Source organism: Homo sapiens, chromosome 3, assembly GCF_000001405.40.
Source record: "Homo sapiens chromosome 3, GRCh38.p14 Primary Assembly".
Lineage (NCBI taxonomy): Eukaryota > Metazoa > Chordata > Mammalia > Primates > Hominidae > Homo > Homo sapiens.
The window spans coordinates 136,821,752-136,840,903 of NC_000003.12; the positions used below are offsets into that span (position 1 = coordinate 136,821,752).

At 39.5% G+C, this 19,152-nt stretch overlaps 1 protein-coding gene across 7 annotated transcripts in view; it reads left to right on the forward strand.

The window, feature by feature from the left end:
- Positions 1–19,152, forward strand: part of SLC35G2 (solute carrier family 35 member G2) — a 36,763-nt gene that overhangs the window by 2,626 nt on the left and 14,985 nt on the right. Inside the window, exon 1 of one of the 7 annotated variants that reach the window (XM_011513214.3) lies at positions 9,059–10,007. The exons of 4 other annotated variants lie outside the window; for them this stretch is intronic. The gene's annotated coding sequence lies outside the window, so the exon portion shown is untranslated. Of the gene's footprint in view, positions 1–9,058; positions 10,008–15,167; positions 15,241–17,032; positions 17,111–19,152 lie in introns of those variants that run through there. 2 more of the 7 variants (XM_017007289.2, XM_017007291.2) reach the window with 2 other exon arrangements.

Here is a 19,152-nt window from a genome sequence, read left to right on the forward strand (position 1 = left end):
TACGTGTATAATACATTATTGTTGATATGTATTGTTGATAGGTGCAATGCTGTATAGCAGATCTTTAGAGCTTATGCATCTTGCTTGACTGAGACTTTATGCCTGTTGATTAATAACTCCTGATTTTCCCCTGCCCTCCAGTCCCTGGAAACCACCATTCTACTCCTCGATTCTATGACTTTGACTACTTCATTTTTATTTCTATTTATATTAATTTTTAATTTTTGTTGGTACATAGGTATATATATATTTACGGGGTACATGAGATGTTTTGATATAGGGATGCAACATGTTTAATAATCATATCATGGTAAATGGGGTATCCATCCCCTTGAGCATTTATCCTTTGTTTTTATAAACAATCCAGCTGTACTCTTCTAATGATTTTAAAATGTACCATTAAATTATTATTGACTATAGTCATCCTTTTGTGCTATCAAATACTAGGTGTTATTCATTCTTTCTACTTTTTGTATCCATTAACCATCCCCAGTTTTCCCCACACCCCCAACTCTCTCTCACTACCCTTCCCAGCTCTGGTAACCACCATCCTTCTACTCTTTTTCTTTTTTTGAGATTGAGTCTTGCTCTTGTTGCCCAGGCTGGAAGCTGGAGTGCAGTGGCATGATCACAGCTCACTGCAACCTCTGCCTTCTGGGTTCAAGTGACTCTCCTGCCTTAGCCTCCCAAGTAGCTAGGATTACAGGTGCCCGCCACCACACCCAGCTAATTTTTGTATTTTTAGTAGAGATGGGGTTTCACCACGTTTGCCAAGCTGGTCTCGAACTCCTGACCTCAGGTGATCTGGCTGCCTCAGCCTCCCAAAGTGCTGGGATTACAGGCGTGAGCCACTGCGCCCAGCGTACTCTCTATCTCCATGAGTTCAATTTTTTTGATTTTTAGATCCCACAGATAAGTGAAAACACGTGAAGTTTGTCTTTCTGTGCCTGGCTTATTTCACTTAACATGATGACTTTCAGTTCCATCTGTGTTGTTGCACATAACAGGATCTCATTCTTTTTTATGCCTAAATAGTACTCCATTGTATGTAAATATCTGTTGATGGACACTTACGTTGCTTCCAGATCTTGGCTATTGTGAACAGTGCGGCAACAAACATGGGAATGCAGATAACTCTTCCATATACTGATTTCCTTTCTTTTGGTTATGTACCCAGCAGTGGGATTGCTGGATTGTATGGTAGCTCTATTTTTATTTTTTTGAGGCACCTCCAAACTGTTCTTCATAGAAGTTGAACTAATTAATAATCTCACCAACAATGTGTGAGAGTTCCCTTTCTCCACATCCTTGCCAGCTTTTGTTATTGCCTGGCTTTTGGATAAAAGCCATTTTAACTGGAGTGAGATGATATCTCATTGTAGTTTTGATTTGCATTTTTCTGATGATCAATGATGTTGAGCAGCTTTTCATATACCTGTTTGCTATTTGTATGTCTTCTTTTGAGAAATGTCTATTCAGATCTTTTGCCCATTTAAAAATTGGATCATTAGATTTATTCTGATAGTTATTTGCCATTCCTTATGTATTCTGATTATTAATCCCTTGTCAGATGGGTAGTTTGCAAATATTTTCTCCCATTCTGTGGGTTGTCTTTTCACTTTGCTGACTGTTTCCTTTGCTGTGCAGAAGCTTTTAAACTTGATGTGACACCATTTATTCATTTTTGCTTTGGTTGCCTATGCTGGTGTGGCATTACTCAAGAAATTTTAGCCCAGAACAATGTCCTGGAGAGTCTCCCCAAGTTTTCTTGAAGTAGTTTTATAGTTCGAAGACTTATATTTAAGTCTTTATTCCATTTTGATTTGATTTTTCTTTTTCTTTTTTTTCTTTTTGAGATGGAGTCTCCCTCTGTCACTCAGGCTGGAGTGCAGTGAGTGCAGTGGCTTGATCTCTGCTCACTGCAACCGCCGCCTCCCAGGTTCAAACGATTCTCCTGCCTCAGCCTCCTGAGTAGCTGGGATTACAGGCGCGCGCCACCACACCTGGCTAATTTTTTTTTTTTTTTGTATTTTTAGTAGAGATGGGGTTTCAGCATGTTGGTTAGGCTGGTCTCGAACTCCTGACCTTGTGATCCACCCACCTCAGCCTCCCAAAGTGCTGGGATTACAGGCTGATTTGATTTTTCTATGTGGTGAGTGATAGGGGTCTAGTTTCATTATTCTGCATATGGATGTTGTTTTCCCGGTATCATTTATTGAAGAGACTGTCCTTTCTCCAGTGTATGTTCCTGGCACCTTTGTGGAAAATGAGTTTACTGTAGCTGTATGGATTTATTTCTGGGTTCTCTATTCTGTGTCATGGGTCTATGTATCTGTTTTTATGCCAGTACCATGCTGTTTTGGTTACTATAGCTCTGTAGTATAATTTGAAGTCACGTAATGTGATTCTTCCAGTTTTGTTCTTTTTGTTCAGGATAACTTTGGCTATTCTGGGTCTTTTGTGGTTCCATATAAATTTTAGGATTTTTTTTTCTATTTCTGTGAAGAATGTCATTGCTATTTAAACAGGAATTTCATTAAATCTATAGATTGCTTTGGGTAGTATAGACAGTTTAACAATATTGATTCTTCCAATCCATGAACATGAAATATTTTTCCATTTTTTGGTGTCCTCTTAAATTTCTTTCACAAATGTTTTATAGTTTTCTTTGTAGAGATCTTTCACGTCTTTGGTTAAGTTAATGCTTAGGTATTTAATTTGATTTGTGGCTATTGTAAATGGGTTACTTTTTTGATTTCCCTTTCAGATCGTTCACTGTTGGCATATAGAAATGCTGCTGACTTTTGTATGTTGATTTTGTGTCCTGCAACTTTACTGAATTTGTTTATCTGTAAACAGTAGTTTACTAATGAATTCTAAAGTTCTAGCAGTTTTTTGCCAGAGTCTCTAGGTTTTTCCAAATATAAGATCATATCATTTGCAAACAAGGATAATTTGTCATCTGCTTTTCCAGTTTGGATGTCCTTTATTTCTTGCTTTTTTAAAAAAATTATACTTTTTAAGTTCTAGGGTACATATGCACAACGTCCAGGTTTGTTACATAGGTATACATGTGCCATGTTTCTTTGCTGCACCCATCAACTCGTCATTTACATTAGATATTTCTCCTAATGTTATCCCTACCCCAGCCCCTGACTCCCCACCTACCAGCCCTGGTATGTGATGTTCCTCACCCTGTGTCCATGTGTTCTCATTGTTCAGCTCCCACCTATGAGTGAAAACATGCGGTGTTTGGTTTTCTGACCTTGTGATAGTTTGCTTAGAATGATGGTTTCCATCTTCATCTATGTCCCTGCAAACGTGGATGTCCTTTATTTCTTTATATTATCTGATTGCTGTAGCTAGGACTTCCAGTACTGTCTTGAATAACAGTGGTGAAAGTGGCCATCCTTTTTCTAGATCTTGAAGGAAAGGCTTTCAGTTTTTCCCCATTCAATATGATACTAGCTGTGGGTCTATCGTATATAACTTTTTTTTTTTTTTTTTGAGACAGAGCCTTGCTCTGTTGTTCTGGCTGGCGTGCAGTGGTGCCATCTTGGCTCACTGTAACCTCTCCCTCCCAGGTTCAAGCAATTCTCATGCTTCAGCCTCCCAAGCAGCTGGGACTACAGGCATGCACCACCATACCAAGGCTAATTTTTTGTATTTTTAGTAGAGGCAAGGTTTTGCCGTGTTGGCCAGGCTGGTCTCAAACTCCTGGACTCAAGTGACCCGCCCCCTCAGCCTCCCAAAGTGCTGGGATTACAGGCATGAGCCACCTTGCCCAGCCATATATGGCTTTTATTATGCTGGGATATGTTCCTTCTGTGCCCAGTTTTTTGAGGATTTTTATCATGAAGGGATGTTGAATTTTATCAAGTGCTTTCTCAGCATTAATTGAAATGATTATATGATTTTTGTTCTTTATTCTGTTGATATAATTTATCACATTGATTGATTCACACATGTTGAACCATCCTTGCATCCCTGGGATAAATCCCACTTGGTCATGATGAATGACTGTTTTAATGTATTGTTGAATTTGCTTTACTAGTATTTTGTTGAGGATTTTTGCATCAGTATTCATTAGAGATATTGGCCTGTAGTTTTCTTTCTTTGATGCGTCTTTGTTAGTTTTGGTATCAGAGTAATACTGGCCTCATAGAGTGAGTTCGGAAGTATTCTCTCCTCTATTTTTGGGAACAGTTTGAATAGGATTAGAATGCTTCCTTAAATGTTTGGTAGAATTCAGCCATCAGGTCCTGGGCTTTTCTTTTCTTTATTTTATTTTATTTTATTTTTTAAGACACAGTCTCACACTGTCGCCCAGCCTGGAGTACAGTGGCGCGATCTTGGCTCACTGCAAGCTCCACCTTCTGAGTTCACGCCATTCTCCTTCCTCAGCCTCCCAAGTAGCTGGGACTACAGGTGCCCGCCACAATGCCCGGCTAATTTTTTGCATTTTTAGTAGAGACAGGGGTTTCACTGTGTTAGTCAGGATGGTCTTGATCTCCTGACCTCGTGATCCGCCTGTCTCGGCCTCCCAAAGTGCTGGGATTACAGGCATGAGCCACCACGAGGTCCTGGGCTTTTCTTTATGGGGAGGAAAAGAACTTTAGAATTCAGTAAAGTTGCAGGATACAAAATCAACATACAAAAATCAGTAGTATTTTATTATGACTTTGATCTTGTTACTTGTTATTGGTCTGTCTAGGTTTCAAATTTCTTCATGGATCAATCTTGGTGTTTTATATGTGTCTAGGAATTTATCCATTTCCTTTGGATTTTCCAATTTATTGGCATATAGTTGCTCATAGTAGCCGCAAATGATCCTTTGAATTTCTGTGGTATCAGTTGTAATGTCTCCTTTTTCATCTCTAATTTTATTTTATTATTTATTTATTTTTTTGAGATGTGGTCTGTCACCTAGGCTGGAGTGCAGTGGTGCAGTCGTGATGCACTGCAACCTCTGTCTCCCCTGGCTCAAGCAATCCTCCCACCTCAGCCTCCCAGGTAGCTGGGACCACAGGCATGCACCACCACACCTGGCTAATTTTTTATATTTTTGGTAGAGATGAGGTTTCACCATGTTGCCCAGGCTGGTCTCAAACTCCTGAGCTCAAGTGCCTGCCTCACCCTCCCAAAGTGCTAGGATTATAGGCATGAGCTACCTTGTCCAGCTGCCTCTGATTTTATTTATTTGGATCTTCTCTCTTTTTTCTTTTTTTTTTTTTTAGTATTTATTGATCATTCTTGGGTGTTTCTCGGAGAGGGGGATTTGGCAGGGTCATAGGACAATAGTGGAGGGAAGGTCCTCTCTTTTTCTTAGTCTGACTAAAGGTTTGTCAACTTTGTGTATCTTTTAAAAAAACCCAACTTTTTGTTTGAGTGACCTTATGTATTTTCATTTCAATTTCATTTATTTCTGCTCTAATCTTTATTATTTATTTTCTTCTACTAAGTTTTTTTTTTTTCCTTTTAAACAGAGTCTTGCTCTGTCATGCAGGCCGGAGCACAGGGACATGATTATAGTTCACTACAGCCTCAACCTCCTGGTGCCCAAGTGATCTTTCTACCTCAGACTCCTGAGTAGCTGGGACTACAGGTGTGCACCACCACGCCTGGCTAAGTTTTGTATTTTTTATAGCGATGAGGTTTTGCCATGTTGCCAAGGCTGGTCTCAAATTACTGGGCTCAAGCAATCTGCCGGCCTCAGCCTCTCAAATTGCTGGCCTCTTCTACTAATTTTGGGTTTGGTTTGCTCTTGCTTTTCTAATTCTTTAAGATGTGTTATTAGGTTACGTATTTGAAGTTTTTCCTCTTTTTTTGATGTAGGCATTTATAGCCGTAAGTTTCTGTCTTAGTACTGCTTTCACTGTATCTCATAGCTTTTGGTGTGTTGTGTTTCCATTATCATTTGTTTCATGAAATTTCTCAATTTCCTTAATTTCTTCATTGACCTATTGGTCATTCAGGAGCATATTGCTTAATTTCCATGTGTTTGTATAGTTTCCAAAATTCTTCTTGTTATTGATTTCTAGTTTACTTGTGGTCAGAGAAGATACTTGGTATCATTTCAGGGTTTTTGTTTTTTTTTTTTTGAGACAGGGTCTTGCTCTGTCTGAAGTGCAGTGGCATGATCTCGGCTCACTGCAACTTCCACCTCCTGGGTTCAAGCGATTTTCCTGCCTCAGCCTCCCAAGTAGCTGGGACTACAGGTGCACGCCACCATGCCCAGCTAATTTTTGCATTTTCAGTAGAGATGGGGTTTCGCCATGTTTGCCAGGCTGATCTCAAACTCCTGACCTCAGGTGATCTGCCCACCTCAGCCTCCCAAAGGGTTGGGATTACAGGCGTGAGCCACCGCACCCAACCTTTTTAATGTTTTAAGACTTGTTTTGTGACTTAACATGTGTTCTATCCTTGAGAATCATCCATGTGATGAGAAGAATATGTATTCTGCAGCAGTTGGATGAAATGTTCTGTAAATATCTATTAGGTCCATTTGTTCTATATTGCAGATTAACTCCAATGTTTCTTTGTTGATTTTCTGTCTGCACGATCTGTCCAATGCTGAAAGTGGGGTGTTGAAGTCTCCAGCTATTATTGTATTGAGGTCTCTCTCTTTCCCTGTAATGTTTAATTTATATATCTGGGTGCACCAGCACTGGGTACATATTTATTTATAGTTGTTATAGCCTCTTGAAGAATTGACCCTTTTATTATTATATAATGACCTTTTTTGTCTCTTCTTACAGTTTTTGTCTTGAAATCTATTTTGTCTGATATTAGTATAACTACTTTTGTCCTTGTTTGGTTTTCATTGGCGTGGAATATCTTTGTCCATCCCTTTATTATTTTTGGTCTATGTGTCTCTTTATAGGTGAAGTGTGTTTCTTGTAGGAAACAGATTCACTGGGTCTTGCTTTTTAATCCATTCAGCCAGTCTGTGTCTTTGGATTGGAGAATTTAGTCTGTTTACATTCAATGTTATCAATAAGTAAGGACTTCTGCCATTTTGTTACTTGTTTTCTGGTTGTTTTGTGGTCTTCTCTTCCTTTTTACCTTCCTTCTTGTCTTTTGGTAAAGATGATTTTCTCTTGTGGCATATTTAATTTCTTGCTTTGTGTGTGTGTGTATCTGTTGTATGTTTTTTGACTTGAGGTTACCATGAGGCTTGCAAATACTGTCTTATAACCCACTATTTTAAACTGATGACAACAAAGATTGCATAAACATGCAAAAAAGAAAACTAATAAAAACTCTACACTTTAACTTTATCTCTCTGCTTTTTAACTTTTTGTTGTTTCTCTTTACATCTATTGTACTGTCTACGTCTTGAAAATTTATTTTTGATTGGCTTATCATTTAGTCTTTCTACATAAGAGCAGTTTACACACCACAATTATAGTGTTATAATATTCTATGTTTTTCTATGTGCTTACTATCACCAGTGAGTTTTGTACCTTTAGATGACTTTTTTTTTTTTTAGATGGAGTCTTGCTCTGGCACCAGGCTGGAGTGCAGTGGCGCCATCTTGGCTCACTGCAACCTCCGCCTCCCGGGTTCAAGCGATTCTCCTGCCTCAGCCTCCCAAGTAGCTGGGACTTCAGGCGGCCGCCACTATGCCCGGCTAATTTTTGTAGTTTTTGTAGAGACGGGGTTTCACTATATTGGCCAGGCTGGTTTTGAACTCCTGACCTTGTGATCTGCCCGCCTCAGCCTCCCAAAGTGCTGGGATTACAGGTGTGAGCCACCGCACCTGGACTCCTTTAGATTATTTTTCATTGCTGATTAATGTTCTTTTCTTTCAGATTGAAGAACTCCCTCTAGCATTTCTTGTAGAAAAGGTCTGGTGTTGATGAAATCCCTCAACTTTTATTTGTCTGGGAAACTATTTCTCCTTCATGCTTGAAGGATATTTGCACCAGCTATACTACTCTAGGGTAAATTTTTTTTTTCCCCCTTGGCACTTTAAATATGTCTTGCCACTATCTCCTGGCTTGTAAGGTTTCCACTGAAAAGTCTACTGGCAGACATATGGGAGCTCCATTATATGTTATTTGTTTCTTTTCTCTTGCTGCTTTTAGGATCCTTTCTTTATCCTTGATCTTTGGGAGTTTGATTATTAAATGCCTTGAAGTAGTCTTCTTTGGGTTAAACCTGCTTGGTGTTCTATAGCCTTCTTGTACTTGAACGTTGATCTCTTTCTCTAGGTTTGGGAAGTTCTCATATTATTTCTTTGAATAAACTTTCTACCTCTATCTCTTTCACTATCTCCTCTTTAAGGCCAATAACTCTGAGATTTGCCCTTTTGAGGCTGTTTCTAGATTTTTTAGACATACATTATTTCTTTTTTTTTTTTTTTTTTTTTTTGAGACGGAGTCTCCCTCTGTCACCAGGCTGGGGTGCAGTGGCGCGATCTCAGCTCACTGCAATCTCCGCCTCCCAGGTTCAAGCGATTCTCCTGCCTCAGCCTCCTGAGTAGCTGGGATTACAGGCACACACCACCATGCCCAGCTACTTTTTGTATTATTATTATTTTTTTTGAGACAGAGTCTTGCTCTATCGCCCGAGCTGGAGTGCAGTGGCGCCATCTCGGCTCACTGCAAGCTCCGCCTCCCAGGTTCACACCATTCTCCTGCCTCAGCCTCCCGAATAGCTGGGACTACAGGCGCCCGCCACCACGCCCAGCTAATGTTTTTGTATTTTTAATAGAGACAGGGTTTCACCGCGTTAGCCAGGATGGTCTCAATCTCCTGACCTCATGATCTGCCTGCCTTGGCCTCCCAAAGTGCTGGGATTACAGGCATGAGCCACCGCGCCTGGCCTACTTTTTGTATTTTTAGTAGAGATGGAGTTTCACCATGTTGGCCAGGATGGTCTCGATCTGACCTGGTGATCCGCCCACCTCAGCCTCCCAAAGTGCTGGGATTACAAGCATGAATCACTGTACACAGCCCACATCATTTCTTTTTATTCTTTTTTCTTTTTGCTCTTCTGACAGTGTATTTTCAAATGGCCTGTCTTTAATCTCAGTAATTTTTTTTCTTCTGCCTTATCAATTCTGCTATTAAGAGACTCTAATGCATTCTTCAGTATGTCAATTGCATTTTTCAACTTAACACTATTTCATAGTTATAATTATATGTGAACTCAATCCACATACCTGCCATCTTTACTAAATTTTGTTTAATCATTTTCTGACTGCATAAAAATCACTTGCTTTGTATCTCTCTTTTATTTAAGACCCCAAAGTATCAGCAACTTTACTGAACTCTTTTACTTTAGGAACTCAATGGAGGAAAGGAGAAATATTAGGTGATTTAATTTCCCATTTATTTTGCCTCTGGTTTCTGTGTAACTCTGGCTGGCCACTGTTGTAAATGGGAGTGAAGACCCTGAAAAATGAATGAGGCTGCTGAGGAGGGTGGTGGACAACAGCTAGATACTCACATTGCTTTTTGGATTCCCTTACTTTACAGTTAGGAGATACAAGATAGAGTTAGGTTGCAGAATTGTGACAACCAAAGCTCTGCACTACAACTAATTAGATCCAGAATTAGAGGTGCTTGGTTAAGAAGGTGACTTTCTCCAAAGCATATCAGCTAAGCCAGAGGACTCATTCATTTTTCCAGCATTTGTTGAGTCTTACACTGAGCTAGGGGTTGGAGATGTTTAGAAGAAAGATAAAGACATAATGCCTTTTCTTGGAGTGGTAACACTTTATCAGGGGATACTGGTACATAGGCACCTCACAATGATACAGTATGTCAAGGATGATGACAGAGCCCTGTAGAAAGTGTTCTAGAATCCAGAGAATGAACCAGATTGTTCAGTGAGAGGTTTTTCAAGTAGGTCACCAGGAAAGTTGAAGGCATGTGGGTGGGAATTTGCCAGAAATTGCTTTGTTGGGCATTAAGTAGCTGATAATCTCAAGTTGTAAACAAATGGTTTGGAATGTGACAGCCTGGGTTTGAAGCCTGACTGCACTATTTAGGACCTTGGTAAGCTTGGGCAAGTCACCAAACCTTGCTGAGCTTCGTTTAAGTTTTTTGAAAAAAGGAGTAATAGTACCTACCTTGTTGGACTTGTGGGTTTAAGTGAGATAATACATGTAAAGTGCTTGAGTCTAGTCTTTTTTTTTTTTGCCTATTTAAAAAATTGCATGTAAATCACTCTGCACAAATAATTATTCCTGTTAGAGCTCTCAGGGGTTAACAAACTGTAAACTCTTTGTGTCTTCTGCATTTGTGTGATCATTCTTCATTTTTTTTTTTGAGATGGAGTCTAGCTCTGTCGCCCAGGCTGGAGTGCAGTGGCACGATCTCGGCTCACTGCAAGCTCTGCCTCCCGGGTTCATGCCATTCTCCTGCCTCAGCCTCCCGAGTAGCTGGGACTACAAGTGCCCGCCACCAGGCCTGGCTAATTTTTTTGTATTTTTAGTAGAGATGGGGTTTCACAGTGTTAGCCAGGATGGTCTTGATCTTCTGACCTCGTGATCCACCTGCCTTGGCCTCCCAAAATGCTGGGATTACAGGTGTGAGCCACCATGCCCAGCTCATTCTTCTAATCTAGAAGTTTCTCTTTTAGTGTAGTTTAAATCTCAAACTGCTCCTTTTTACCAATTCTTATGCTATCCCAAAACAAATTAGTTCTAGGCTGAAATTGTCATTACTTTTGCTTTGTTCACCCATATTCTGATGTTAAAGCAAATCTATAGTTAATTGTATAATTTCCTTCCTTTAATGTGCATAGTACTTGTTGTGTCTGATATCTTTTCTCACCCATTAACATTTAAGTTCCTTAAGAGAAAGCTTATGCCTTCTTGGTCTTGTCTCTCATAATGTCTTAGCATGGTGCCTTCCACATCATAGGCACTCATAAATACTGACTGAATAAAGGAATAATCATGAATGCATGAGATTGCCAGATAGCTGATGTGATGTCAGACTGCCTTCATAGAAACAAAATCCCCCTGAACAGGACAAAGTATAGAAACTGAGGAGAGTGGTTAAGATGGTGGAAGGACTGAGGCCGGGTGTGGTGGCTCACGCCTGTAATCCCAGCACTTTGGGAGGCCGAGGCAGGTGGATCACGAGGTCAGGAGATCGACACCATCCTGGCTAACATGGGGAAACCCCGTCTCTACTAAAAATACAAAAAAATTAGCCAGGCATGGTGGCGGGCGCCTGTAGTCCCAGCTACTTGGGAGGCTGAGGCAGGAGAATGGCATGAACCTGGGAGGCGGAGCTTGCAGTGAGCTGAGATCGCGCCACTGCACTCCAGCCTGGGTGACAACAGCGAGACTCTGTCTCAAAAAAAAAAAAAAAAAAAAGAATAAAACATAAGATGGTGAAAGGACTGAAAACCATGATTATACATGGAATAATTGAAAACCCAGGGGCTATTCAGTTTGGAGAAGAGGAAACTTACAGTGGGAGAATTTAGATGAGGAGGGTAGGGAATAGTAGTTCACGTTATTGAAATGTTGTTAAGTGGAAGAGGGAATCAATTTGTGACCTCAGAAGACATATAGTAGCAGCCTCTGGAAATTACATGGAGAAAGATTTTGACTCATTGTTAAAAAGTAACTTTCTAACAATCAGGAATGACTTCCAACTGGCTGTTTTGAGAAGGAGTGTTTCTAGTCATTGTAGGTGGTCAATCAGAAACTGTACTATTTGATGGGGATGCTGTAGAGCAGTCATCCCCAACCTTTTTGGCACCAGGGACTGGTTTCATGGAAGACAGTTTTTCCATGGAAGGAGTCGGCGGGTGGGGGGTGTGTTCACGAATGGTTTCAGAATGAAGCGGTTCCACTTCAGATCATCAGGCATTAGAGTCTCATAAGGAACATGCAACCTAGATCCCTCACATGCACAGTTCACAATAGGGTTTGTGCTCCTGTGAGATATAATGTTGCCGTTGATCTGACAGGAGGTAGAACTCAGGCAGTAATGCTCGCTTGCTCTCCACTCACCTCCTGTTGTGTGGCCTAGTTCCTAACAGGCCACAGACTAGTACTAGTTCATGCACTGAGGGTTGGGCACCCCTGCTGTAGAGAGAAGATATACTTACTCTCAAAGGAATTGGAGTAGATGATCCCCAAAATCTTTTAAACTCTCATGGTCTTTAATTCTATGTATTGTAATATATATTAATGTATATATTTAATAAAGGTTAATCATATACAATGCTACTGTATATGGTATTGTATAGTAACCGTAAACAATAGCATTGTACATGATTTACCTTTATTAAATATATGTTAATATATGTATATATTTATGTATTGCATATTCTCATTATCACCAGATTGCCTAAATTAATGAAAGGTGAAAATGGCTTTTTAAAAATTTGATCTTGGATTATTTAAAAAAATATTACTAACATGTCTTTTGCTTGGGGACACTAGTGTATAAAACATTATATGAACAGTGTTTAAATTGCAATAAACAAATTTACATTGTTGTTAGCATGTCAGATGCAAGTAAATACTATTTTAATTTCTTTGTTAAATCTAAAAGGAGAAAAGTGAGCCAGAGTCAACTCATCCCAATTCAGATGAATTGTGTGTTTATTATTTATTTATTTTTGAGACGGAGTTTCACTCTTGTGGCTGAGGCTGCAGTGCAGTGGCGTGATTTTGGCTTACTGCAACCTCTGCCTCCCGGGTTCAAGCGATTCTCATGCCTCAGAAGAGTAGCTGGGATTATAGGCACCTGCCACCACACCCAGCTAAGTTTTGTATTTTTAGTAGAGGAGGAATTTCACCATGTTGGCCAGGCTGGTCTTGAACTCCTGACCTCAGGTGATCAGCCCGCCTTGGCCTCTGAAAGTTCTGGGATTACAGGTATGAGCCACTGCACCTGTGTGTTTAAAATTCAGGACTTCATCATCACCACCACCACTGTCTCACTATCACCATCATTGCTAACATATATATATAGCATTTATTATGTGTCTAGCTCTGTTGTAAACATACCACACATATTAACTCATGTACTTTTCCCCAAAATCCAACGAATTAAATACTGGTATTGCCATTTTTGTAACTTATTTTGTAGTAATTTCAAACTTACATAAAAGTTGCAAATATAATACAACAAACTCCTGGGTAAAAGATAACTCTCTTATTATTCTTCACCCAAGTTCTCCAATTGTAAACATTTTACATTTGTTTTGCCATTCATTTTCTTTTTCTGAACCAATCGAAGGTAAGTTGCAGAGGTGATATCCAATTATCCCTAACTACTTAAGTGTTTTCCTTTAAGACAAGGACCCTCTCCTGCATAACCACAGTGTTATCACCAAAATCAGAAATTTCACATTGATATAATTCCACTATCTAATCCACACACCACATTCAAAATTTGTCATTTGTCCTAACAATTTCCTTTTTGAAAAAGTATTTCTTACTTTTGGTCTAGAATCAAAGTCAGGATTATGAATTACATTTAGTTGTTATGTCTCTTTAATCTTTAATTTGTGACATTTCCTCAATCCTTCCTTATCTTTAGTGACCTTGACATTTTTGAGTTCAGGCCTTTTTCTTTTTTTTTTTTTTTTGTAGAGTTCCTCATTTTAGGTTTGTCTGATGTTTCTTCTTGATTAGATTCAGGTGATACATTTTTTTTTGGCAGGAATGTGATAGAAGTGAAATTGTATTCTTCCAAATGTATCATATTAAAAGGCACATAATATTGTTTTTTTGTTGGTGATGTTAACTTTGATGGCTTAAGGTGATAATTTCTCCACTGTTAAGTTATTCTCTTTCCCTTTGAATTAATAAGTATTTTGTAGGAAGACACTTTGAGGCTATGTAAACATCTGGTTTCTTAACAAAGTTTCACTTGCTTATTTTATGATTCTTGCATAAACTGTTACTAGGATGATTGCCAAATTGTAGTTTTTCTAATTACAATATTTGTTTTCCATTTACTAGTTGGGATTCTATTGTACAGAAGTTTTTTCCTCTCCCTTCTTATTGGCTTATTTCCATCAGCGTGGACTTGTGGATTTCTATTTTATCCAATAGATTATAAGCCATTACTATCACTATTGGTTTTGATGCTGAAAATGCTCCAGTTCCAGCCATTGGGATACCCTTCAAGCCAGCTCCTGTGTCCTTTTGGCATCTCTGTATCATTCTGAGAGTACTTTTTTGGGGTGCAAGACATTTCAGGCTCTTCTGGTATTTTTTCTGCCACAATCATTGCAGTTATTTCATCAGCTGTTTCTCCACTGAGCTCTGGTTCCTTTTACTTGAGAATGGATTTTTAGAACCAAGATCTGGATGCTAGGTGTGGTCATTGCTACTGGAGTGTTACTGTTTTTAGGCCATTTTAGCAGACAGAGCTAGGAAATTCACACACACACACCCACACACACACCCCTATATCTATTTATATATCTTTCTGTCCATTTATATTAAAACTCATGAATTTACTCCAATATCTCTAGCTCTACTCCAACACTACAGGGTTCATTCTAGTCTTCACCCTTATTCTATTTGTAACTTCCTTCTCTCTTGGTAAAAAAATCTGGCTTCCATTATCCTCGATATATTTAACTATTTACTCATTCTTCTTTTATGTAACCAATCTCCTGACCTCACAGGCCACCTCCTTGGCCCCAATTCTTCCTCAGATTCAGGCCTGCTTATCGACCAGTCTCTTCCCGACATAAATTAAACAACTAGAAGGTTGTGGAGCAGAAATTCAAACCTCAGTGCTGTAATTACTTGATAGAGAGCCCTTTATTAGGTCTTCAACACCAATGGAGTTGATTTGTGAAACAGCTTCTGTGAAAATGCTCATGGAAAAAAGGCCCTTGGACTAATGAGATGAAGATTTATCCACACAGAGTGTCAGCCCCAGAGATGTGCCTTCCATAAGAAACTTGGGAGCATCAAGCCAAATGCTCTACCTGCCAAGAACCACAGCAAGGGGATTCTCCAAAATTGGTGAGGTTCAGGGACCAGACAGCCAGCACCACCAGTGCTATAAATATCACACTGTGTTTTATCATATCAAGAGTACATTTCATTAAGATGTAAACATATTACTTTGCTATATTTCTGTAGAGGGAAATACTGCTTTTATTACAGATTCTTAGATTGAAATTCTAGGAGCTGGATGATGGTGTCTTCTCTTTTAGTGCTGACTTCATTTCCTGGTCCAGAAGATCAGAAATCTGTTCATGTTTTAGAGAACAGCATGAGGTCCATCTGTTCAGGTCAGATTTTTCCAAATTAACATAAAGATTTATGGGGTGGTAACTTATGTAAGAAAAGCCAAAGGTAATTATATTCTTTGCTGCCATTTGGAACTTACATTATGTTTTTGGTTAGTAATGAAAATATACTAGTATGTATCTACACACACACAACACACACACACACACACACAGAATTCTTTCAAACACTATGATAAAGTCATCCTCTTCAGTTTGTATAATATTTCACCTCTGTTTTGGTTTAGGCACCAGACACCATCCATTCAAATTTTCTCTGTAATGTGGTCTGTTTATGTACAGTTTTCCTTCCAACAGAAGGCACAGAAATAAAAGAGCTACAATTGGCTTCTTGGGTGACTATTTTAGTGTGACTGAAATACAGAGTAATGATTTTTTTCCTCTGATGAAAATAGCTTGATTTTTTTCTGATTTCAAAGGAAATATATACATATATGAAAAACAAACAGAAAAGAGAGAAAATACCATATAATTGAATTTCCACCATTTGCAAGGATAAATAGAATCACATCATGAATACTCATTGACATCTTTCTTTTTACTCAGCAATATGACATGAGGGTTTTCTTATGTAAATATATATACATATAAATTACCCTTTTAGATGGCTGCATATTACAGTAATGATTTTCTTTAACCAGCATCCCATTAATGAGAAGTTTATTTCCAATTTTTCATTGTATAAAGAAAGCCATGATGAATATTTTTGCATGCACATCCTTATATACTTTGCTGGTGATGATCTTAGGATATATCCCTGAAAATAGCATTGCTGGGTCAAAGAGTTCACATATTTTAAATTTTGACACCACATGTTCCTGGTACAATTAACTCTTTTTTTTTTTTTTGAAACAAGGTCTTGCTCTGTCACCCAGGGCGGAGTGCACTGGTACAATCTTGGCTCACTGCAACCTCTGCTACCTGGCTCAAGCAATCCTCCAGCCTCAGCCTCCCATGTATACAGCTGGGACTACAGGCGGGAGTCACCACGCCCAGCTCATTTTTGTATTTTTCTGTAGAGATGGGTTTTTGCCACGTTGCCCAGGCTGGTCTCAAATCTCCTGAGCTCAAAGTGATCTGCCTCCCGAAGTGTTAGGATTACAGGTGTGAGCCACTGTGCCCGGCCATAAAATTAACTCTTGATGAGGTGAATTACAGTATGTATATTCTTTATATATAATGTCCCTGTCAATGACAGAACTTGGTAAAGTCTCTTCAATTTTGCAGTAGCATATACATATATATATATATATATATATATATATATATATATAAATGCACACACAACGTGTGTGTGCTTGTGCATGCATGTTCTCCTACAGACATTAAAGGAGTGTAGTGATTTTAATAAATCTAGGTATGCTACTTAACCAATCAGATGTTGTTAGGTTTATTCAAAATTTGACATATGGTTTGGTCTGAAACGATGGCATCTGGTAACCATTTCTTATCTTACATTGATTTTAATGAAATATGGTATATGGGAAGAGGTGACTGAGTTGTAATTTTAGTGAGTGGTATCTATAGTGTGAAGAATCAACGGTGTCAATAGTATGAAGAATCAGTTATGATTAAGCCAAACCAAATTTGTAAAATTTTGAACTGATTCATTTGGTATATTTTTAAGTTTTGGCCTCAAGAAGGAGTTCAGGCTTGGCTTTTTTGTGGATAAATAGTAGCAAAAATAGGACAAATGTGAGCATGTGGTGCATGTAGTGTTTGAAGGATTTGATAGTAGCTTCTGTTGATCCTGGGGTGTTCTTTTTTTGTTCAGGAACTGATGCATATCCTGGGCAGTTGGAAGCCTTCTTTAAACTCAGCTGGGCTGCTCTGATGATCTCTCAAGAGTTAGGTAAATTACAAACAACCAAGAAGTACAACTTTAACATGCATATTGGAACAGCCCAGTAATTTTACATTTAATTAGCATCTAACCTAATTGGGTATTTAACCATTTAAACAGAAACATAAAAAATCATGGAAATAGAAAAGATCATTTTATTCCTGCTTCTCCCCCTTCTAGTGATGGCTCCTTCCTACCCTTAACAGCTTCACCCAGCACAGCTGAATTTAAAGCTGCTGACTCACAGGAAGGTGATTCTGCTTTTTTTTTTTTTTTAACAGAAGGAAAGTTAAGTGGTAGATGATAAATGTGTTCATTGAGGATGGCATATTTTATGCAAATTGATAAATCCACTGATTCAAAGATTAGAAAGGCTCTTTCCTGGAAAGGAAGTGTCGATTATAAATGGTGAAGACTTGCATACTTGCATTCTAGCAAGTTCTTAGCTGCCAGCCAACACATTCATCACCAAGTGCCAGAATGGATTTTAAAATGTCACAACACAAATTGCTCTGCTCAAAATCAGGCACCATCATAGTCACACAAGCCAAACCAACCTGCTTGTTTAAAAGTGCCACATAAAGTTTTTTTTTCAACCTCAGTTAACCTTTTCCTTTCCTGGTATGCCTGGTTCATTGCAGTCTCCTAAAGTCATGAACCTTGACTGAGTAGAGAGAGGCCAGGCTTCTCCCTTTGACTTTGCCTGTACAGCAACTAACTGGTCCAGGTGCTTTTAAACTGATGGTAAGACTAAATGTTTAGCCCAGCTCTAACCAGACTGATAACTCTCACCCCTACCTTTTCCCCTATACCTTCTGCTCTTATTTATTTCTTTTGTTTTTCTCAATCTTTTCCCTCCCAGAGCCAGCTGTTGACTTCTAGAAGCTACTGCATAGCTGATAAGCCCCTGACTATTCCTTCCCTAATTTTCTGCTTTAGAACTGTCAGTGGAGTGTCCAGCTCAAACCTGGGCTAGCCCTCCTGTTTGATGCTTCTCTTAGCAGCCCCTACCTCAATACCATCAGATCTGTCTTCTTACCTCCCCTCATCTCCAAGTCCCTTAGTTGTAATTTCCACCCACTTCTATAACCCAGACTGACACAGCCCAGCAAAATCCTCAGGTCTGTCTACCATTCTCCTATAGCCTAGCTCAGCCCAAAATTTCTTAGTCCCTTTAAATCACATTCTACCTTGCTCCTCCCAACATTGCCCACTCTGGAATCCAGTATCCATTACTTTTCCTAGTCCAACTAAGCAGCCTTCATCCCCAGTCTAATTGGTTGGGGGGACTGCCACACCTTCAGCTTCAGTGTATCTTCCCTCTTGGGAAGCTTCTGCTTTTCAACCCAAAATAAGGGTTCTCTTGTACCCAGGTAGCCCTCTTTTAAGCTGATTTTGGCTAGCATGCCAAGGAGCTTATCATTCACCCTAGTGTGCCCAGATTTTTTTCTAGCCTGAAATAAGTGAGCTGTCATCCAGTTCTGGCACTTTTGTGCTTCCGTTAGTACTGCAGGGAGTCATCCTCAAAGAGCATTATCACCACTGACCTGTCACCAGAAAGGCACAGTGATGATGATAAATTTGGACTGATTCATCCATATTCTTCCCCTGGTTGTTGCCCTTCTTTTCTTTCTTCCTCCTCCTCTTCCTCCCCTCCCTCCCTTCCTCTCTCTCTCCCTCCCTCCCTCTCTCCCTTCCTTCTCTTTTTCTCTCTTTTCCTTCCTTCTTTCCTCCCTCCCTCCGTCTCTTTCTCTTCTTTCTCTCCCTCTCTTTTTTCTTTTCTTTTCTTTTGACAGAGTCTCACTCTGTCATCCAGGCTGAAGTGCAGTGGCGTGATCTTGGCTCACTGCAACCTCTGCCTCCCTGGTTCAAGTGATTCTCCTGCCTCAGCCTCCCTGGTAGCTGGGACTATAGGCGCATTCCACCATGCCTGGCTAATTTTTTATTTTTAGTAGAAATGGGGTTTCACCATGTTGGTCAGGCTGGTCTCGAACTCCTGACCTCAGGTGATCTGCCCGTCTGAGCCTCCCAAAGTGCTGGGATTACAGACG